Genomic DNA, 23,668 nt, shown 5'->3' with positions numbered 1-23,668 from the left:
TGAGCTCAGGAGTGTTCAAGACCAGCTTGGACAATATAGTGGGACCCCGTCTCTACAAAAAATCAAGAAAGAAGCTGGGCGTGGTGGCACATACCTGTGGTCCCAGCTACTCAGGATGCTGAGGTGGGAGGATCGCTTGAGTTAGGGAGGTTGAGGCTGCAGTGAGCTGTGACTGCACCAGTGTGCTCCAGCCTGGGCAACAAAGTGAGACCCTGTCTCAAAATAAATAAATAAAAATAAAAATAGATTCTGGGAGCATGCCAGCAGTTCATGCCCATGTGTGGTCTTGTCAGGAGTTATAATAGACATCTTATTTTGAAATAATATTATTTTCTTCTATTTCTGATTAGAAAATTTTAATTTGTATTTATTGTAATAATTTTGGAAAATACAAAAATCTCAGAGAAAAGATAAAAACTATATGAATCCTGACATTAAGAGCTATTTGCAGCCTGCTTTTCTACTCTTTCTGATGAACTGTATAGTGAACTTTACTTAGGTCATCATGGATTCTACCACATGACATATGATATCTGTTTGGTGGTCTGTCGCGTGGATATACCATGAAATGTTTAACTCTTCCACTGTTGGACATTTAAATGGCTTAAAACTTTTTTCCTTAAAAAAACTTATTTCAAACAGTTGTACAGTCTGCCCAGAAAAAGGGCCCAGGACACAGTTTAAAAATGGTAATACTAATAGAACAAAACAAGCAGCACCTGTTGGAAAGATCCCATAAACGTATTGGCAATAACTAGCAAGCACTTTTGATTATTGAAGCTGCAGCCTTTCTGGCCCTGGCTAATCAAATGAATGGATTTGCTTGTGACCTGCGAACCTGTATTTGAATACTACATTTTGTATTATGTTGGTTTGAAAAGTCAACTTAATAGTCATATTATTTCAATAGCTTCTTGGCTACTCTGTCTGACTTCAGGGGTAGACTTGAGTTTGAGATGTGAAATTCCCCAGCATAGTATAGCAAAAGCTACATATACCTAGACGTTAGGGCTTGGTTTTATTATTTACTTACTTTATTTATTTATTTTTGAGACAGTCTCACTCTGTTGCCCAGGTTGGAGTGCAGTGGCATGATCATGACTCACTGCAACCTCAAACTCTATGGGCTCAGATGATCCTCCCACCTCAGCCTCCCAAATAGCTGGGACTACAGTGCACCAGCACATCTGGCTAATTTTTTTTTTTTTTTTTTTGTAGAAACGGGGTTTTACCATGTTGCCCAGGGTGGTCTTGAACTCCTGGGCTCAAGTGATTCACCCATCTCAGCCTCCCAAAGTGGTGGGATTACAGGCATGAGCTAGGCCTGGTTAGTTTTAGAAACTTATCTATAATAGAATGTGACACTGATGTCCTTACCAGGCTAAGATTTGAAGTATGGAAAATTGTAGGGCGTGGTAGAATATTTTGTTGTTACTCTTGGCAGTATGTTTTCATTTGTGTTTAGGTTTAGTTTGTTTATTGTTTTGATCTTTTCTCATCTTTCTGACCACAAAAGAAACCTGGAAAGTATCCATCCTACGCCTTTAGCTCTTACCTGAAGGCCTTGAAGACTCTCCAGCACCAACACCTTGGTCTCTGTTCTGGAATGAATTTGGAAAACCAAGCACAGCCAGTCAAATGGGCTGTTTCCTTCCCATATAACTTTTGGCCTTGAAGCTAAGACACGTGGTTCTCTGGTTTCTAAGGTTCCTTGGGTCTATGAGGGAGAAGGAGAGGAGAGATTATTTGAAAGCAAGGATTCCACAGGGGGATGTCTGCCTTCGAGCAGTGGTTCTTAACATTTTGTGGGTCATTAACCAAAAGCCTGATAGTAAGAATCTGAGAGAACTACTCCAAAAAAAGTAATAAAACATTTATGCACATTGACACAGACTTCGCTTTTTATTTCTGGGGACCCTGAGTTTATGGAGTCCTCAGAAGCCCATTGTTATTTATCAGGTTAAGAATCTCTGGCTTAGAATTTTGGAAATAATTTGTTTAAGAAATGAAATAAAAGAAAATGAATTGGCATTTTCCACCCAGTCATTCCCTGAGCTTATGATGTTTTATTCTTCACTGTGGGAATTCCTTCTTATCCATGGGATTGGAAGGCGGTGATTGGCCTATGAGAATGTCTCCTAGAGCTGGCACAATTCCCACACCTGTACTTCATGATCCTTTTCCCTTTGAAGGTCAGGGGAATGCTCCTATTGGCTCATTTTCTTGAGGTCTTAAAGACTCTGGCACTGGTTGGGCCTGGTGGCTCCCGCCTGTAATCCCAGCACTTTGGGAGGTCGAGGCAGGAGGATTGCTTGAGCCCAGGAGTTTGAGACCAGGCTGGGCAACATGGTAAAACTCCATCTCTACAAAAAATACAAAAATTAGCTGGCCATGGTGGCACACACCTGTGGTCCCAGCTACTTGGGAAGCTGAGGTGGGAGTCTTACTTTAGCCCAAGGAGGTTGAGGCTGCAGTGAGCTGAGATCACGCCATTGCACTCCAGTCTGAGCAACAGGGCAAGATTCTGTCTCAAAAATAAATAAATAAGTAAATAAAGACTGGCAGTAATGTAGTTTCTTAAATCTAAAGAAAATATCTTAAATTTGGATTTCTTGTATCAAGGTTTTTGTTTTTTGGGTTTTTTTTGTTTTTTTGTTTGTTTGTTTGTTTTGAGACAGAGTCTTACTCTGTCACTCAGGCTGGAGGGCAAGGGCATGATCTCAGTTCACTGCAGCTTCTGCCTCCTGGGCTTAAGAGTTCCTCCCATCTCAGCCTCCTGAGTAGCTAGAGGTATAGGCGCACACCACCATGCCAGGCTAATTTTTTTGTATTTTTTGTAGAGATGGGGTTTTGCCATGTTGCTGAGGCTGGTTTCAAACTCCTGGGCTCAAGCGATCCACCTGCCTTGGCCTCCCAAAGTTCTGGGATTATAGGCGTGAGCCACCGTGCCCAGCCGAATCAAATTTTTAAGAACTAAGGCAGTTGCTATGTAGGTTTGTTTTGTTTTTTTGTAATGATTTCTTCCCCCTGAATTTCCCCAAATGTTTTGCTGTTTCTGCAATACTATGCTCTGATCTGGAAGCTCTACAGTAAAAGTTAAACCTAATATATTTGGGGGCTAGGGTGGCAGGTAGGCTGAGCTACTAATAGTCCATGGATCAGTTGGAGGTTGGTTCCATGAAGCAAGGAGGGGGAGACTGGACAATTTACTGGCCCTCCACCTGTTTCTTTCCACGCTTGCTATCTTGTTTGTCTTATCTGGCTGTACAGCTTCTCTCTGCAGAATATTTCCTTCTCTCAGAAGTAACGTATACCATTTATGTGCATTTGTTTAGTTGTTCATTCATTACCTCACATAGTTAGTGATATTTCCTAAACCCCTACTTTGGGGAACAGAGTTAACTAGGCTATAGGAGAAACATGAAATTTACAGATGTTATAATAGGGGGAGAAGATGTGTACATGCAGAACTTTTCTCCAGGGTGCAGGTGATCCGTCAAGTGGATCTGCTGCTTCCATCTCCTCACCTGCCATGACATTATAATTTGTTTCTCCTGTCTGGACTGCTATATGGGCCTTAAAAATGTTCTCTGTCTGTTTGATCTCACCCACCTCCTTTGGTGAAATCTCCTGTAATTGCTGTTACCAGAATGTCATTTGCTGCTTCAGACTGTTGGCTTCTCACTGCCTGCTCTGTCAGTGGGCATGATCCTGACCTTTTTGGCCCTTTACCAATTGCACTCTCTTTACTCAACTCCTTTCTCCGGCCCAAAGTACACTCTCCATCCTGGCCAAGTACATTCATTTGGCATATGCATGCTGCCTTGCCCTGCCCATGCCCTCCCGCCTCCTGCAGTCTGCATGCTTCCCCTCACCTTCCTGACTCCCACTGCACTCTCCCAGTGTGAAATTCTGACGTTTCCTACCAGACCATGTTCTTTTTATATATTCATCTGTTCAGCAAATGTTTGTTTAGTAAATGCTGTATGCCAGGCATTTTGCTAGGCAACAGGGAAACAAAGTTCTTGCCTTCACGGAGCTTCAGAGTCCTGTGGGGGACACAGACAAGTAAATAGTACTTTCAGTTTGGAGTGATCAGTGCTGAGATAGAAAGTATTAGATGCCCCAGGGCACATATTAAAGGGACAACTTGGTATAGGGGAAGGGAGAGATGTCCGGGAGATGTTCCAAAGGCAGTGAGTGACCCAGGCTGTTGAAATTGAGTATTAAGTTCCTTAGCCAAGGAGTGAAAGAAAACTGGAGCAAAACATCATCTGCCAAAAAGCCATGTATTACTGACCTCAGCACACCAATGTGGCTGAGTGAGGCCCGAGTTGGGTGTTGCTGGCTAGGGGTCCCCGGCTTGCAAAGTGACCAAGAAGAAGAATCACTTGTTTGTGACTTTCAACTTTGTAAGGTATTTTAAGTTGGTACTTGGACAAGATGGCTTTTTCTTTGTGTGTGTATTTGAACAAAATGTTCCCGTTTGCAGCACTCATTGAGTGGTCATTGACACCAGTAATCTATACATTTGCCCTTTAGTGGTGAAATGGAGTTGTTTGAGGTGTCAGCTTGGTTTGGAGTGTCACTAAAAGCCTTTTAAGCCTGCTTCATCACAGTAGCCCTGGGAATCAACGAGAAATGTCTCTGAGTTAAGAGCTAAAATTACAAACATCCAGTCTGACCTGATCATGAGGTATCTTACAATGGTTCCAACTCGGTGACATTCGACATTCGTACTGTAGCACTGCCTCTGTTTGTTTGTTAGTGGTCATTTAACATTCAAAGGAAGAAGATGCTAATGGCCAAGGTTCAGAGATAATGTTTCTAGAGTTTGCTCTGTGTTATATGTTTTGTTTTGTTTGAGACGGAGTTTCGCTCTTGTTGCCCAGGCTGGAGTGCAATGGTGTGATCTTGGCTCACTGCAACCTCCGCCTCCCGGGTTCAAACAATTCTCCTGCTTCAGCCTCCCGAGTAGGTGGGATTACAGGTGCCCGCCAGCACGCCTAGCTAATTATTTGTATTTTTAGTAGAGACTGGGTTTCGCTATGTTGGCCAGGCTGGTCTCGAACGCCTGACCTCGTGATCCACCCGCCTTGGCCTCACAAAGTGCTGGGATTACAGGTGTGAGCCACTGAGCCTGACCTGTGTTATATATTTTTATCTGGATCAGTAGGTCTTTTGTTTTATTTGAGAGGGAGAGAGTCTTGCACTGCCACCCAGGCTAAAGCGCAGTGGTGCAAACATAGCTCACTGCAGCCTCAAATGTCAGAGTTCAAGTGTGAATCAGTAGTTCTTCATCTTTTTGGGGTCATGGCCCCATTTCACCACCCAGTTAAATTTATGGAAAAGTATACACAGAGGCTGGTCGTGGTGGCTCACGACTGTAATCCCAGCACTTTGGGAGATCAAGGCAGGCAGATCGCTTGAGGTCAGGAGTACAAGACCAGCCTGGCCAACATGGTGAAAAGTTTTCTCTACTAAAAATACAAAAGTTAGCCGGGCTTGGTGATGAGCACCTGTAATCCCAGCTACTCAGGAGGCTGAGGCAGGAGAATTCCTTGAACCCAGGAGGTGGAGGTTGCAGTGAGCCGAGATGGCACCACTGCACTCCAGCCTGGGCAACAGAGCTGTCTCAAAGAAAAAAAAGAAAAAAGAAAAGTTTACACAGGCACACACAGAATTGTATATACCATTTTAGAAGGTTCCTGGATCCTCTAAAGTCCCTCATCTCCCTTTAGCCCTCGGGATCATTATTGGTTCATTCTAACAAGGTCCATATAAAATGATTGCCATTTTAAGCTAACTGTGCTATCCATTGATGCCTTGGTTCCTTTCTCACCATTCTGGTTTCCTTGCAGTTGATAACTCGCACACGAGAAACAGTCTGAGGCCCCTTACACATCTGCTGCTAAGAATCACTGTCCTGTACTTCCCTTCCTCTCTTCTCTGGAAATAATGGATGCATATGTATTTGTTGGAGAAGTACAAATAGATGAGTTCTGCCCAAGCAGAGAAAAAGCTCTTACATATTTGTGTGAATATACTTGTGCAAATAGAAAATAGAAGCTATTCACATATAGCTGTCTTCACCACTGGCCTTTTTCTGTTTCCATATTAAATGTTTTTCAGGTTATAAAGCCGCTTATAACGTAAGATCAAAATTGTGTTATTTAAAAAATAATGAAGCTCATGTATCCATGCTTATATATAATAGAAGGTGAAAGGAAAATACTGAAGGCACAGCTACTCGGAGACCACAATGCAGATGTTGAGACTTTGCTATTATTTGGAATTTTATTTACTGCGAAATTGGGTGGGAGAGAAAAAAGAGGAGTAAGCCTTCTTAGTAAACTGTGTTGCTGGCTTTTTTCTTCTGACGATCCACTGGGTATTTTCAATGGAGATGAGGAAAGGATGTGTTTCAGATGGAAACCTTTATGAACTCTCCTGTGAGCTCTCCAGCTTCTCAATCCATGGGCCCTCATTTTGGTTTCTTATTTTAATCCTAATTTATTTAGAAAGGGTAATATTTTTTGAAATGCTTTGAAAACAATCAAAATTACATTCAAGCTGTGGTGAGTAAAAATAAAAACACAGCATCCTAAGAATCACATAGTAGTGTGCCCTGGGAGTTCCTAGTTCACAAGAAGATCATGGATGTTAACCTGTGAGACTTACTGAAGTCATCTAGGGGAGATGGGTCAAGAAATAGCCCCATTTTATAGGAAATCCAGCTCAGAGCTGTGACTGAGGTCATGAGGCTGGTCATGGAATTGGGAGTAGATTTGACCTTCTAGTTCCCAATCCAGGGTTCTTCATGGCTTCTATGCCACTGGGACTTAGTGTAAATCTCCTTACCTCTTTGAGTCCTAAATTCCATATTCCGATAGTGTATGCTTATTTCCTGTGCTTCAGAGTTATTCTGAGAATCAAATTCTATAACGTATGCTTCTCAAAGTGTGATTCCCCAGGCCGGCAATGGCAGCATCTCCTGGGAAGATGTGAAAATGCAGATTCTCAGGCCCCACCCCAACCTGAATCTGAAACTCTGGGAGGGGCCCAACAATCCGTGTTTTAGCACACCGTCCAGGGGATTCTGACTCATGAAGCTTGAGAGCCACTGATGACACGTGAGATAGCATTTTGAAAAGAAGAAAGCATTACAGAAATACAAGATACCTTGTTTTAATGGAGGTAAAATGTATATATGGTGAAACACAAAGATCTTAAATGTGTAATACTGAATTTTGATATAATCAGTGCCCCAGTGAAGATACAGAACTTGTTCATCCCTTATAAAGCTCCCTCTTGCCTCCTCCCATCAGTCCCCACCCAACTTAGGCAGCCAGTGGTTAAGGACAGACTATTCCTTAGAGAACATAAGAGAACTCGATGATGGGTTAAACGTAGAAAGAGCAATGTCTGTGTTCTCGTATTCTTTCACTATTTGTAGGTAATGTTCCTTTTAAAATTACTAACCATATTTCTGTGTTCTTTTTCAGCCCATGGACCAAGCTTCTCTCAAAAACAGCGATGTTCTTGTTCTGACAGGGCTTACCCAGATCCCCACTGCAAACCCAGATGGAATGGTGGGAGAGTTCTGCAGCAACCTAGGTGTGCAACCGTCTCTCATCTTACGTTGGATGATCTATCTTGCATTTATTTTACAATAATAAATATAATATTTTACAATAATGGGGGAAGGAGTGCTTACAGGGTAGCAGTTGTCAAAGGAGGGAGGCAGTATATCTTTGCAAATAATAGCACAGAAAAGAGTGTTACACTTTGAACTCACAGCAGCGATACAGTGAACAGATAGATATGTATGAATGTTTGTGTGGTTGTTTTTGAGACAGAGTCTTCTCTGTCACCCAGGCTTGAGTGCAGTGGCATAATCTTGGGTTACTGCAACCTCTGTCTGCTGGGTTCAAGCAGTTCTCCTGACTCAATCTCCTGAGTAGCTGGGACTACAGGCGTGTGCCAACACACCCGGCTAATTTCTGTATTTTTTGTAGAGACATGGTTTCACCATGTTGGCCAGGCTGGTCTGGAACTCCTGACCTCAGGCAATCCGCCCGCTTTGGCCTCCCAAAATGCTGGGATTTCCGGCATGAGCCACAGTGCCCGGCCAAACAGGTATATTTTTTCCCCACTAATATTTGGTTGGTTTTATTTTTTCTTCTTTTGAGGAAAGGCTAAATTAAGAGAGGTATGGGGCATTTTCTACCTGGAAGAAATTTATTTTCCTTCGGATATAACTGTCACTAAATCTGGAAGTTCTGCTTCTCATTTAGACAAATAGGTTGGTTACTGTCTTAGTTAGTTTGGGCTGCCGTAACAAAATACTGCAGACATTAACTTCTCACAATTCTGGAGACTGGGAAGTCTGAGATTAGCGTGCCAGCATGGTCGTTTCTTGATGCAGATGATTGCCATCTTGCAGTGTCCTCATGTGGAGAAGAGGGGAAGCTCTGGTGTCTCTTCCTCTTCTTTTTTTTTTTTTTTTTTTTTTTTTTTTGAGACGGAGTCTTGCTCTGTTGCCCAGGCTAGAGTGCAGTGGCACGATCTTGGCTCACTGCAACCTCCGCCTCCCAGGTTCAAGCGATTCTCCTGCTTCAGCCTCCCGAGTAGCTGGGACTACAGGTGTGCGCCACTGTGCCCGGCTAATTTTTGTATTTTTAGTAGAGACAAGGTTTCACTATGTTGGCCCATCTGGTCTCGAACTCCTGACCTCATGATCCGTCCGCCTCGGCCTCCCAAAGTGCTGGGATTACAGGTGTGAGCCACCATGCCTGGCCTCTCTTCCTCTTCTTATGAGGGCATGAATCCCATCATGGGGCCTGCACCCTCGACCTCATCTAAACCTAATCACTTCCCAAAGTCCCTGCCTCTCTGTACCATCACAGTGGGGGTTAGGCCAACATGAGAATCTTGTGGGGGACACACACATTCAGTCCGTAACAGCTACCAAAGAGGTATTAATGAGCTCAGACCTTCAGCTCCAGCAACTTTAAGTGATATTACTTCTGCTCTAGGAAGAAGAAGTGGTCATCTTATATTTACACGGAAGGCACTGTTCTTAGAAATTAAACTTAGCCATGCTAATAAACATAGTCTGTTTTTGTTCTTTGATACTAATGCAAAGGTAATTTATTTGTACCTTAGAAAAATAATTGGACTAATCTCAAATAGAGTCTTGGTTTGTATGTTTGTTTATAATCTAGAATCACAGACTCAAAGAACTTTAGGCTTGAAAGGAACCTTACATTTAATTCAGTCTCCCAAAGTGGGGTCCACTAACCGCATTCCCTTAAGACCAATGGGATTACTTATTAAAAATGCAAATTTGGGGGCCCTACCTTAGACCTAGTAAGTCAGAATCTCTGGGGAAAGGAGACTTCCAGAAGAAAAGTTGCATTTTCAACATGTTCTCTGGCATTTTCCACGCAAACTAAAGCTTGAAAATTACTGATCTAATTCATTCTTTTCATGTAACTGATGCAGAAACTGAGGCCAAGGAAGGTTGTAGTGGCTTTCCTGTGGTCCTGTGGGTTGGGACAAAGGTAGGATTTGAGACAGGCTCTTGAGCTATGACCAGCGATGTTGATTTTCTCCACTGTATCCTACTCTAGTACCATACTCTAGTAATAGCAAGTCCACCAGCCCTCAAGTTATAGCATCTAGGTGAGCCTAAGTACTTAAAGTATAGGGGATTTTCCTGCAGACAAATGTTAATGAAAGAAAATACTACTAACTCCTGCAGACAAACGTTAGTCAAACAGAAAAACTCGGCCTATTTTCTTATAGGTCATTCAGCCATGGTCAGAGACTGAACAGAGACAAATCCAGCAAATTTTTGAGCAGGATCTAAAACGGGAAGGAGCTTGGAGGCTCTGTCCTGAAGCTCAGCTGCCATTGGTAAAAACCCAAACCCGTAGTCACATGCTCTATTCCCAGGGACCTAGATTAGACAATGATGAGAAAATCATTATCAGCCTATAGCATCCCCTGCTTTGATGTGTTCTTCAAAAGAAGCAGCTTATTAGACATGTAAGTAAATCATAAAAACAGAAGTAGGAAAACAAGTGCAAATCTTATTTTACAAGTTTATCTTTATAACACTGCCCTTTTGATATGATGTTTTTTCTCCTCTGGCATCCACTTTTCTAGCTCTGACAGTCCGGAATGGAGGAAACGTGTTGGTTCCCTGCTACCCTTCTGGAGTGATCTATGACCTCCTGGAGTGCCTATATCAGTACATCGACTCAGCCGGGCTTTCCAGCGTCCCCCTCTACTTCATCTCCCCTGTGGCCAACAGTTCACTGGAGTTTTCCCAGATCTTTGCTGAGTGGTATGTCCGTGGTTTTTTTTTTTTTTTGTGAATTTTATTTGATTCAGGACATTCAAGCAGTAAGAATAAAAATAATCCTGTTTTTTCTCACATTACTGTGGAAATTTCATTTTGTTGTTTTTCTGTCTGTGATAAGATTGCATTATTAAAAGCCAAATCTGTTGCATTGCTAAGTTTAGAATAATAGTTGTCAAAGAGGGAAGAATGCAAGGCAGAGACTTACCTTAGCCCAGCACTTTCAAAACTGGTAACAAAAATCTTATATACTTATCACATGTCACCCTCTGCCTGTTACTAGGTGAAATGACATTCTAAAAGTTAAAAAAATTTTCAAGCCCAATCTCATGTTGTCTAAAATGTATAGTGCCAAATCTGAGAAGAAAAACTAGATTTTTAAAAATTGCAATAGTATGATATTTGACAAAATTTTATTACATCAGAAAATTGATCAAATCCTAGAGTTGGCAAAATATGAAACAATATGAAATTAGTGAACCTTTTTAGAGTTATTTAGGTGCATGTTTGAATGTAACTCACCTGACCAAAAATAAAGGGAGAAGAGGAAAATAACTTTTACAATATCCCCAGTGGTGCCTTAGAATGGTGCTTCCCAAACGTTCCGGGACTGTGACACAGGCAGTCTAGGCTGCATTTAATCCCTTTTAGTCATGAGGTAGCCGATAGACACAGCATGTACTGAGTTTCTAATTAAAAAGGAATTTGTACATCATCTTCTCATGATATATTCAGTTACGCTGCCCCCAACCCTTGCTTTTGTAAAGTACTTTTTTCATTCCCTTCTGTGGTCGTTTTTTTCCCCGCTGTGTTTAGACTCATACAGGCGTCTCTATCCCATGTACAAATTATTCTTCTTTGTCACTTTTTTTTTTTTTTGAGACGGAGTCTTGCTCTGTTGCCCAGGCTGGAGTACAGTGGCACAATCTCCGCTCACTGCAACCTCCGCCTCCTGGGTTCAAGCAAATCTCCTGCCTCAGCCTCCGAAGAAGCTGGGATTACAGGCACCCGCCACCATGCCCGGCTAATTTTTGTATTCTTAGTAGAGACAGGGTTTCACCATGCTGGTCAGCTGGTCTCGAACTCCTGACCTCAGGTGATCCACCCGCCTCGGCCTCCCAAAGTGCTGGGATTACAGGCATGAGCCACTGCGCCCACCCTTAAATAACATTAGTACATTATTATTAACTCTGAATCTTTATTCTGATTGCACCAGTTTTTCCACAAATTTTTTTTTTTGTTTTTGTTTGGGATCCAATCCAGGGTAACACATTGCATTTAGGCCTTTGATTTTTTTGTTTTTTTGCAAGAAGTTTTTTTTAGTTTTTTATACTGATAGTTTTAGTCTCTTTTGCAGTTTCTTCTGTTGATACTATGTTTAGAAAATTCTTGCCTCTATAGGTGTCACATGGCTAAACATACTTTCTTTCAGTTTTATTGTAGCTTCTTTCTTTCTTTTTTTACATCACCCCTTAACTATTTTATCTGGAATTTGTTTTAGTATATAGTATGAAGAGAAGCATTAATTTCATTTTTTCCCAAGTAGTCAAGTACTTACCTGTCCAAGTACTATTTATTGAGTAATGTTAACTTTTTCAGCTGATTTGTATTAATGCCATATGCCAGACTTTCATATGCACCAGGTTTTGTTTCTAGACTATCCTGATTGAGTGATCCATTCATTCTTTGGCCAACATGATGCTAATATATTTTAATAACTGCAGCCTCACTTATAATTGTACTCTGTGGTAAAGTACATTTCTCCATTATTTTTCTTAGAATTCTTGGAGCTATTTTTGCTTACTTATTTTTGTGGAAGAATTGTGGAATCACTGTATCAGTTTTCAGAATATCTTTTTGAGTCCACAAAACCTATAAATTACAGTTTGCAGTAGTTTTCCCATGCTGAGACATGGGATGTGTGTCTGTCTTTTAAGCTTTTCAAATATTCCTCCCGTAGACTCTTAAACTCAGTGATCATATTATTCTTGTTTCCATCGATAGTTCTATTTGCTTAAATCCATAAACCTTTAAGTGCCAAAGCACTGAGGATACAAAGAGGTCCCTGACCTTGAGGAATCTGTACCATGAAGGAAGAGGCAGCTGTGTAAACCTCTTACCACTCGGAAGTAATCTGATGGAAATATATACACACATACCCACACACACACCTACGTATATCTGTATGGTATTCAGAGAAGGGGTGGGTGGTGACCCCATTTGGGGGGTTAAGAAAGGCATTCTGGAAGGAGGTGCTCCTGAAGAATAACCAAGAATCAGCCAGACAGAAACACTATTTAAGGATGAGTTGGGTGGTCTGCCGGCGGTGATGTGTGGGTGGAGAGGATAACACAAGCCAAGACATAGATGGGAGGTTAGAATGGTTTGGTTTGTTCAGAGAACTATCCATAGTTCTTTATTGTTACAGTATGAAGTTCAGGGTGGGGAGTGGCAGGGTATGAGGCTAGAGGGATCCTGTCCATGGGGGGGATTCATTGGAGGATTCTAAGCAGGAAATGAACATGATTATATGTGCATTTTATATAGAGCCTTCTGCATTTATGTGAAGTTTGTTGGGAGGTGGTGGGAGGGGGTGCAACTGAAGTACAAGACAAGAGTCTTTGCAGAAGTCGAGGGACTGAAGACTCCAGTCTCTACCATCCTGGAGGAAAGCAAGGCAGGAACCCATATGAGAGGTGATTAGGAAATACAAGGGGCAGGACTTACTGGTTACTTGATACAGAAAAGGTAGCAATCAAGATTGACACCACAATTTCTAGTGTAGTAGATCGTGTTGACCCCAAACAAAATAGGTTCTACAAAGGAAGGGTAGGTTCATACAGCAAGTGTGGTTAGCTTAGTTTGGTTTTGTCCCTGAGGGCATTGACGGTGCCTGAGGCAGGGGATGTGCAGGTGAAACTTGTCCAATCCAAAGATCTGAGAAGCCCAGGCTGGAGTCATAGGTTGGGGTGTCCTCAGCGTTGAGGTAGTTGAGTGGCTGGGATTGCCACAAGAATGAATGGGATTGTCTGGGGAGAGGATTTGAGGTTAGAAGAACAGGCAGTGGGGAAAGGATGGACTTAAGTAATGCCTGCATTTTTGGGGTCATTAGAGAACAAATATTTAGGAAAAGTGTGAAGACAAATAGTTAAAGAAGTAGAAGAGGCCGATCAGGGTGGCTCACACCTGTAATCCCAGCACTTTAGGAGGCCAAGGCGGGAGGATTGCTTGAGGCCAGGAGTTCGAGATCAGCCTGAGCAACATAGCAAGACCTCATTTCCACAAAAGATTAAAATATTAGCAGGGTATGGTGGTGCATGTCCATAGTTCCAGCTACTCGGGAGGCTGAGGCAAGAGGATTTCTTGAGCCTGGGGGATTTCTCTGTGTTTCTGTTTCACTGTGCTGTTCTCTTTCATGCAGCCTTGCTGTAAGGCACCCTTTTTCCCTAAATAAGGAACTCAGTTACCAAAATGGATAGCTGCTAGCTCCAGACTTGCATTAACTTAGCAAGTCCCAGCCCCCCATGCCAGGACCACCACAAGCCTGTGCTGAGGGTTTGGCTTCCTCTCCTCTTTGGTGTTCTGAACGGGTGCTTCACAGCCTGGCTGCTCTGTGCTCAGCCTCAGGCCCGGCCTGCTGTTCCCTATCACTCTGGTTCCCTGGCTCTGTGCTTCCCGTTCTCAGGGGTTCTGCTCTGGCTTCTACATGGTCCTGCTTTGATGCCTGCAGAAGCCCAGCCCCTTGCTGTCCAGTGTCTGCCCTTGCTCCGAGCTAAGGGGCTTGGTTGTTTGGGTTGGTTTTGTTTTTGCAGGGGATGGAGATGGGAGGGAATAGCTCTTGAAAGACCTCTCTGATCTTTTGGAGTTTGGAGTGTTGGGGTTTGGAGTGTTGGTTGGTTGGTTGGTTGGTTTTTGAGACAGGCTCTCACTCTGTCGCCCAGGCTGGAGTGCAGTAGCACAATCACGGCTCACTGCAGCCTCAACCTCCTGGTCTCAAGCGATCCTCCCACCTCAGCCTCCTGAGTACCTGGGACTACAGGTGTCACCATCATGCCCAGCTAATTTTTGTACAGACAAGGTTGCATCTCGTCTGAACCCATGAACTCCTGGGTTCAAGTGATCTGCCCGCCTTGGCCTTCCAGAGTGGTGGGATTACAGTCCTGAGCCACAGTGCCTGGCTCTGATCCTTTTTTGAACAAGCAGTGGAAGAGTGTGCGGTACCTGAGGTCTGGCCATCAGGGAGCAGGAGGGTCTGTCACATTCCCAATTAGAGATAAACCTAGAAGCGCCATTTATTCTTCATTCTTCCTGATAATCTGGTATACACAGATCTCCTTTTGAACTCTAACAGCTACCCCCAGAAGAAGCAAACTCTAATCAGGTCCTTCAGCCTCTGTCTTAGAAAGGGGGTGGGTCCCTGTCTGCTGTGCCTGCATGAGGATTCTAGAGCAGAGTATGGAGGATCTGTTAGCAGAACTGGCCTAAGCATTATGTAGGTGGGCTTCACAATCTCTAATCATATTGTAATCTCTTCTGTATCCCTAATCTCTGCCTTTAATGCATGTAGGATAATGTCCTTTGGAACAATCAAAATAAGTTTAGAACCAAGCTCTTATATTTGTCTCCCTGAGCTAGAAATAAAGACAGAACTAGTGTCTATTTAGATAATATAAGGTAACCCTCCAAAAGCATCTTGCTCTTCCATATTTATATCTTCCAAGTAGGGTATAAAGTGATGTTTTTTTAAACCAAACTTAAACGAAACTAAGGGTAGGAAAAATTAGATACAATGTATTAATACAAAATCCAAGCCCTGAAGTCCTGAGCTCCTCCCCTCAAAGTAGTGACTATTTTTTTAAATGTCAAACCTGCACAACACCCACATATATTGATTTATCAACTGTGAACTTTTTGCCACATTTGCTTTATCCAGACATCTCAGTATTGTAAAGTCATAACTGACTAGGAAAAAGCAAATGTAAATTACCAAAAACATTCACATTGTCTCTAGCCTGTGATCCTTTGTTCTTCTCTAGTTGGAGTTACCAATGCTGCTGTTAAAAAGAGTGTGAGGGCCAGGCACAGTGGCTCACGCCTGTAATCTCAGCACTTTGGGAGGCCGAGGCGGGTGGATCACCTGAGGTCAGCAGTTTGAGACCAGCCTGGCCAACATGGTGAAACCCCGTCTCTACTAAAAATACAAAAATTCGCCGAGTGTGGTGGCAGGTGCCTGTAATCCCAGCTACTTGGGAGGCTTTGGCAGGAGAACCACTGGAACCCAGGAGGTGGAGGTTGCAGTGAGCCGAGATCGCGCCATTGCACTCCAGCTGGGCAACAAGAGCGAAACTCTGTCTCCAAAAAAAAAGTGCATGGACAAAAACAGAAGCCATGTCTCAAGGTGTAGATCACTTTCTTTGTGAAATTGACCACAACTAAATGCAATATGATACCACGGATTGGATCCTGGAACAGAAAAGGGACATGATTGGAAAAACTAGTGAAATCTGAATGAAGTCTGGAGTTTAGTTGATTGTCATTGGCCTGATGTTAATTTCTTAGTTGACGACTGTGCCAGTCATATCAGATGTTAACTCTGGGGACATAGGGTGAAGAGGCCATGGAAACTCTGTACTGTCTTTGCAGCTTTTCTTTAAATCTAAAATTATTCCAAAATAACAAGTTTATATTTTAAGAAAAAATGTATTGAGAAATTCTAAAGTTTAAAAACATACAAGATACATCTCTTCTCTGTAGGCACTGGATTTCATTCACAGTGAAATTCACTGGCGGGAAATTTTTAAATAAACTTCAGTATTTAATATTTGCACTGCTGCCACTAGGTGGCAACAGATGCCACCGTATGCTCTTCCTCACATGCTGATGTGTTTTTCCTCTTTAATAGGCTTTGTCACAACAAACAGAGTAAGGTGTATCTTCCAGAACCACCTTTTCCTCATGCAGAGGTAAGAAAACAAAATCACTGGGACATGGGAAGGAAGCAATGTGGATAACCTGATGCAGATGCAGACAGCAGGTCGTTAGATGAAATAGATTGCTGTGTAAACCTGTAGACCCCTTTGCCTCCCAAGTCAGACACAGGGAAGTATTTTAACTCAAGCTTCACTTGCTTTCCTCCTATTAACACTTTCTATTGCGCACGTGGAGCAGCCCTTCTCCAAAATGTTGTGGACCGCAGAATTGTTTCAGACTTGGGATTCGGGAATATACTTACTGGTTGAGCATCCCAAATTTGAAAGTCTGAAATCAAAATGCTCCAATGAGCATTTCCTTTGAGCATCATGTTGGTGCCCAAAAAGTTCAGATACTGGAACATTTTGGATTAGGGATGCTCAGCCTGTACCATGTTCATGCAATTCATAGCCTGCTTCTGTTCTACTGACTGCATGATGAATTGTATTTCGATACATATTACTACCTTTTTAAATTGGGTTTATGTATTGTCAGAGTGTTCTTTCCAGTTATGTCAGTCATATATGTACATTTTTAGTGACGAAAATAACATTTCAGTTCAACAAATAAAAGGCTTCTTCCTCCCTCACAGAACAAATGGGTGTTTTCTATATAGCTGAATACCTAGCTTTGTTGTCAGGTTCTTTTCACCCAAGGGTATATTATGAACGTTTTTCTGCGTCTCATGTTATTATTGCTCTACTACAATGAAGCTAACAGACAATAGTTACTCCTCATTTTTGGTTATATTTTCACTCAAAGATTCTCTAAATTGGTATCACCACCTTAGAAAACTGACAGTATTGGCTGGGCTCGGTGGCTCACGCCTGTAATCCCAGCACTTTGGGAGGCCAAGGCGGGTGGATCACAAGGTCAGGAGATCGAGACCATCCTGGCTAACACAGTGAAACCCCGTCTCTACTACAAATACAAAAAATTAGCCAGGCGTGGTGGCGGGTGCCTGTAGTCACAACTGCTCGGGAGGCTGAAGCAGGAGAATGGCGTGAACCTGGGAGGCGGAGCTTGCAGTGAGCCCAGATCGCGCCACTGCACTCTAGCCTGGGTCACAGAGTGAGACTCCGTCTCAAAAAAAGAAAAAAAGAAAACTGACAGTATCTGCTAAAGCTGAACAATGTACTCTATGCCTCCGCAGTTTTGTTCCTAAAGTATACATTGAACAGAAATGCATAGAGATGTTACCAAAAGACACACACACAAATCTAGAATTTGGTCAGGTGCGGTGGCTCACACCTATAATCCCAACACTTTGGGAGGCTGAAGTGGGAGGATCACTGGAGGCCAGGAATTTGAGACCAACCTTGACATCATGGCAAAACCCTGTCTCTACAAAAAAATACAAAAAATTAGCCCGGTGTGGTGGCACATGCCTGTAGTTCTAGCTACCCTAGAGGCTGGGGTGGGAGGATCACCTGAAGCTGAGGGAGTTCGAGGCTGCTGCAGTGAACTGCAATCGTGCTACTTACTGCACACCAGTCTGGGTGACAGAGCAAGACCCTGTCTCAAAAAAAAAAAAAAATCTAAAATTTTTGGTAATAGTACTGAAATATACTCAAATTCCCATCAACAATAGCATGGATTTTGTGGTATACTCACACAGTCCCTTACATCACTGTGAACAAATAAGCTCCAATTATATGCAGTGTAGATAAACTGCACAAACATAATGTGAGTGAAAGATCCAGATATAAAAGAGTAGATATGGTATGATTTTATTTACATAAAAGTTCAAAAACACAATAAACTGATCTGTGGTATTAGATGCCAGTGTGGTAGTGATCCTGGAGGGGAGGGGACAGTAGTGACAGGAAGGGGACAAAGAGGGATTTCTGAGGAGCTAGTAATGCTTTATTTCTTGATGTACATGTGTTCACCTTGTAAAAAATCCATCAAGGTGTACAGAGTTAGATATAAGGAAAGAGTGAAGGCTGGAATGAATCCTGTGCTGTTGGATAGAATTGATGGTATTGGTGTGAACTCCTATTTTCAATATATGTAGATACAGAAAGAAATCCACTTGTGCATGTGTGTGTATGTGTGTGTCTGTGCACATACGTATCTTCCAGCTCTGGCCACACAGAGGGCCTGGGAGCAGTGACATGCCACTAACTGAGGAACACATTTAGCTCCCACATGTTGGTTTCTAGATACCATTCTCCACTAAAAGGAACCAGGCCTCTTTGGAAAATACAAGATGAGGCTGTAAGATCTTGCTGTATGCTCAGAGAAAGATGGGGACATGTCAGAAGCCACATCTGAGGTCACTGGAACATCAAAATAAATAATGCTAGTAATGAATATAATCCACTGAATAACAGAAACTCCTGCATCCATAGTGAGGTAACTGAGTACATAGGCAAGAGGGGAAAGTTCTTCCAACAGTAAACTCATAGTTAACATAGGAAAGAACCTTAGAATTAGAAAATCACCATTTGGCAGCCACCGCAGTAATAATTTATTCCTGCAAGAAACACCAGTGGGTGCTAAAACCAGTGGGTGAAAATGTTATGAAGAACTAGATCATTTATAGTCCCAAAAAGTATGTCCCCACAAAAGTCATGTTTATTACAAAGACAGAAATAGTAACTGGAGTTTGGACAAACTTGACATATGCAGTCAACGTTAACATCACCAGTAATTGGACTAACTGACATTGCGTGGCTCTTAACACAAATTATTGAGAAAGCAGCATGATTTCTGTGATCCTGCTGCTAAAAATGCTTCACCTGAATCTAGTGAGCATTCAGACCCAAGTCGAGGATGCTCAACAAAATAACTGACCTGTACCCTTTGAGAATGTCAGAGACCTAGAGGACAAGGGAAGACTGAGGAACTGCCGAGAGAATGAAGAGATGTGACAGATAGATGTACTCCATGGCCATGGGCTGGATCTGGAAATGGAAGAAGAAAGATCTAGTTTGTTTGCTATTAGGAGCATTGATAACAGTTGGTAAAGTCTGAATCGGGTGTGTAGATGAGAGGGGGCAGTGTTGTGTCACTGTTCATTCCCTGCTTTTGATGGTTGTACTGTTATAATACATCCATGTTAACTGCGATTATCTCCCCACACTCATTTCTTTGATTGTCATATTTATAACCCCTCCTCAACTAAGGCAGGTAGACTGTTTTTACTTACAGCATGTCAGTGCAGATAGATATGTTTAGGGATTTAGTTGTTTTGTTTTATAGTTAACTAACACGTATTTCAACAAATGTCCTGCTAATTACTTTAAATGTAATTGCTGTTTTCATACTGTAAAGGATAGGTCTTTTATGAACCAGGATGCCAAGTAGAAGGTTTTGAAGAAGTTATTTTTTGGTCCCTGTAGTCTAAATAGTATTTTGGCAGCCAGGGTTTTTGCAAGCTGTGTCAATGCCATAGTGAAACACAGGCTAGAAATATTATAAAAATGTCAGAAAATTAAGTGTGGCAAAACATCTTGTGGTGGACTTTGCTCTTGAATGTCTGTTTTGCTTCCTTTGCAGTCAGCCTTGCTGTAGAGCTTGTTTTCTAGGAGTGTGATCACATTCTCACTCACACACCTGTCACAAATGACCTGGTGCCATTTAGAGTTAGGAATGTGAGTAGACTGTGGTCGTACCATGAGGGTTCCTCAGGTGCACTTGTCGTTGTTAGGGCATGAGGGAGTCAACCCTTGGTAATGTTACCAATGCCCATGAGAAACGGTGGTTCCACCCTTAGTACTGGTAACAAATTACTGTTCAGAATTCCTGCCCCACAGCTTCATTTCCACTGGTCAAATGCAGTAAGTTGGCTAGAAAGGTAGATCCAATTGGCAAAAAACGATGAATTTATCTTAGTTTCTGTGCATTGATCAGTAGAGCTACAGGAACTATAGATAATGCTTAAAAGTGACTTACGTGTGCAGAGACCTGCTGCTATTCTTAGAATCACATTCATCATCTTGACATCTTAGGATACAATAGACCCTTTTTGACAGCCACTCACCCATTTAACTGAGACAACTAATGATTTTGGCCATATAGTTTATAAAAAGAATGTCAGTTCAACTTGCAGACTACCTGGAAGGAACGTGGGAATTCGATGTTTGCTCCGGCTTTACTATTCATATTCCATCCAAGCATGCGACAGCTGATGAAGATCTCCAGGACAGTGTTAGTGTCTTCCTAATACAACCAGGTCTCTTCAATTAAAGATGAGGTCTTCAAGGTGAAGAGAGTTTGGCTTCTGTTTGGGGTATGTCCTATTCTGGCCACATCCCCACTCTTAGGGTGACTTCATTTGCACTTCAAGGTGTTGCCCAGGGCCCTCTCATGCACAACATGTGGCAACAGGATTGAGCCTATCACAGGCCATTGCTTTATCCATGAAACAGCCTTCCAGAGCAGTGCTTCCTTTGGCCTGGTTGATATTTAGGGTCTGTGAAGTCTGGGTGTCTAGCCTCTGGATGCTGGGGTGGGGCAAGGAGGCCTGGGCAGCAGGCACAGTGTCTGAGACGTTACAAGATGCCATCTAGTCATAACTGTCTTTGCTATTGCCTTGAATGGGCCTGACACTGGGAGATGATTGTCAAGTGTTATGCTGCAGGGGAGACTCTTGGTTCAACACGTACACTTGAAAGAAAGCTTTGAGGCTGCGGGGCACCTGCTTCTTTTTTTTTTTTTTTTTTTTTTTTTTTGAGACGGAGTCTCACTGTCGCCCAGGCTGGAGTGCAGTGGCGCCATCTCGGCTCACTGCAAGCTCCGCCTCCTGGGTTCATGCCATTCTCCTGCCTCAGCCTCCCGAGTAACGGACTACAGGTGTCCGCCACCAGGCCCAGCTAATTTTTTGTATTTTTAGTAGAGACGGGGTTTCACCATGTTAGCCAGGATGGTCTCCATCTCCTGACCTTGTGATCTGCCCACCTGAGCATCCCAAAGTGCTGGGGGTTTTTTTGTGTGTGTATGTGTTTTTTTTAGTGACAGGGTCTCAGTTACCCATGCCAGAATACAGCGTTGCAATCATAGATTACTGCAACCTTGAACTCCTGGGCTCTAGCCACAGTATCCAAGAACTTTTTTTATTTTTTGTAGAGACAGGGTCTTGCTTTGTTGCCCAGCCTGGTCTCAAACTTCTGGGCTCAAGCAATCCTCTTGTCTTTGTCTCCCAAAGTGCTGGAATTACAGGCGTAAGCCATTGTGCCTAGCCCATTTCTTAATATAACTGTCTGTGTTACCAGGACATCACATTTCTAAAAGCCAATTTGATCTTTGTCGTGCATGTGTGTGTGCGTGTATGTGTGCATGTGTGCACACATGTCCACATGCTGTACACATTCAGAGAAGCTTCTCTAGTAGCAAACAACAGAAATGATCCCTGAAAGTACAGTCTTTGGTCTTGGTCCTTATTCAGTTGCTGCAGTAGCTTAACACAGCTCTAGCTTTGCAGGAGGAGGTCCTGTACTGGCAAACAGTGTTTCTGGTGTGACGAATGTGGTTACTGTCACCAGGACTTGGTGATTCACGAGTGTTGGGAAAGTCACTTGTACTTCAAACAAGAAGTGATAATGAGAACTTCAGGCCTGGTGTGGAGTGTCAGGCAGCTTATAAAGGAAGAGTCCAGCTAAAGCAGGCCATAACAATCTGAATATGTTTCCAGGAAGTATGTCAGTATTACCAGAAAGACTTGACTTGCCCATGTGTTCCACAAATCACATTCTGGGTAAAAACTATTTTAATAAGATTCACTTGTATTTTTTTAAATTAATAAGTGTTACTTTTCACAGCAGTTTTAGGTTCACGGCAATCATATGCCCCTGCCCCACACACGCAGTTGCCCACTGCACCATCCCACACCAGAGAGGTGCGTTTGCTACGGCTGATGAACCCACATTGACACGTCACTCTCGCCCAAAGCCCAGAGTTTACAGTAGGGGTTCCCTTGGCGTTGTGCTTTCTATGGTTTTGAACAAATGAACAGTGACCTGGATCCACCATTACATCATCACACAGAGGAGCTTCCTCACTCTGCAGATCCTCTGTGCTCAGCCTGTTCATTTCACTCTCCACGAATCCCTGGTGACCGCTGAGCCTTTTACTATCTGTATAGTTTTGCCTTTTCCAGAACGTCATACAGTTGGAATCATAGGGGCCTTGGCTTTTCAGAGTGGCGCCCTTCACTTAGGAATAGGTTCCTTCATGTCTTTTCGTAGCTTGGCAGCTCATTTCTTTTTTAGGGCTGAATAATATTCCATTGTCTGGATGCATCAGTTTCATCCTTCACCTGCTGAAGGACACATCTTGGTTGTTTCCACGTTTTAGCAATTAGGACATTCATGTGCAGGTTTCTTGTGGACATGATTTTTCAAAATATCTTTCAAAGTGGCTGTATCCTTTTGCATTCCCACCAGCAGTGAATGAGAGTCCTTGTTCTTCCATATCCTTGTCAGCATTTGGTGCTGTGAGTGTTCTGGATTTTGGCCATTTTATTATAACAGGTGTATAGTGGTATCTCATCATTTTAATTTGCAGTTTCCTAATGACATACGGTGTGGAGCATTTTTTCGTATGCTCATTTGCCATCTCTCTTCTCTGATGAGGTGTCTGTTCAGGTTTTTTGCCCACTTTTTAATAGGGCTGTTCATTTCTTTTTGCTGAGGTTTCGGAGTTCATAGATTCTGGGTCACAGTCCTCTCTCAGGTGTGACTTTTGCAGGTATTTTCTCCCAATCCGTGGCTTGTCTTCTTTGTTGGTATTTTAGATCCAGTCCCGCTCACCCTCCCGTACTTTGGTTCCCCCTTCAGCCTGGGCAGGCTCACATTTCTTTGTATTTTTTCTATATTTTCCAGCTCATTCAGACCAATAAGCTGAAGCACTACCCCAGCATCCACGGAGACTTCAGCAACGACTTTAGACAGCCCTGTGTGGTGTTCACCGGGCACCCTTCCCTCCGCTTCGGGGACGTGGTCCACTTCATGGAGCTCTGGGGAAAATCTAGTCTCAATACCGTCATATTCACGGGTAAGTGAAAAAAATAAAGAAACAAATTGGTTCTCTCCACTGAGGCCATGAGTGAATGCACCTACAAGGTAGAGACCCAGGGAAGGATTTTGCAGTGAGACATAAATACAAACATTGTTCTACTGTAGGTACCAAAGAATGAAGAAACCGCAGAGAAAGAGTGAAGCAGTGTGTGCCATTGGACAGCTGGGCATCCAGCGAGGCCTTCATGCCTGTGTTTTCAGATTTCTCCAAGACAGAATCCTGCTGAGTGCTTTTGCTAGGATATCGTAAGCCATTTCAAGAAGTGCAGTGATTCAGTAACGGTGTTGTTTTACCTGTTAGGAATTG

The 23,668-nt window shown here is 42.8% G+C and overlaps 1 protein-coding gene and 1 pseudogene across 15 annotated transcripts in view, besides 1 other annotated feature; one reads left to right on the top strand and one right to left on the bottom strand.

The window, feature by feature from the left end:
* Nucleotides 1-23,668, top strand: part of INTS9 (integrator complex subunit 9) — a 122,309-nt gene that overhangs the window by 85,809 nt on the left and 12,832 nt on the right. For all 15 annotated transcript variants that reach the window (NR_026826.3, XM_047421958.1, XM_047421956.1 and 12 more), the window contains 4 exons: nt 7,506-7,617; nt 10,174-10,354; nt 16,272-16,332; nt 23,167-23,338. Coding sequence is in view for 14 of the 15 variants with exons in the window: in XM_047421958.1 (XP_047277914.1) it covers nt 7,506-7,617; nt 10,174-10,354; nt 16,272-16,332; nt 23,167-23,338 (526 nt within the window). In the remaining variant the exon portion in view is untranslated. The remainder of the gene's footprint in view (nt 1-7,505; nt 7,618-10,173; nt 10,355-16,271; nt 16,333-23,166; nt 23,339-23,668) is intronic.
* Nucleotides 13,739-14,239: an enhancer, noted in NCBI's record as "H3K27ac hESC enhancer chr8:28647439-28647939 (GRCh37/hg19 assembly coordinates)". NCBI's record gives its function as "activates a minimal SCP1, AML or CMV promoter by ChIP-STARR-seq in primed H9 embryonic stem cells {active_cell/tissue: H9 hESC(primed)}" and the evidence as "EXISTENCE:reporter gene assay evidence [ECO:0000049][PMID:30033119]".
* On the bottom strand, nt 21,622-21,711 carry LOC124902104 (uncharacterized; annotated as a pseudogene).

The sequence above is a fragment of the Homo sapiens genome, chromosome 8, assembly GCF_000001405.40.
Source record: "Homo sapiens chromosome 8, GRCh38.p14 Primary Assembly".
Lineage (NCBI taxonomy): Eukaryota > Metazoa > Chordata > Mammalia > Primates > Hominidae > Homo > Homo sapiens.
Note: the sequence above shows the minus strand (reverse complement) of the source record. Positions and strands in the feature narration are given on the sequence as shown.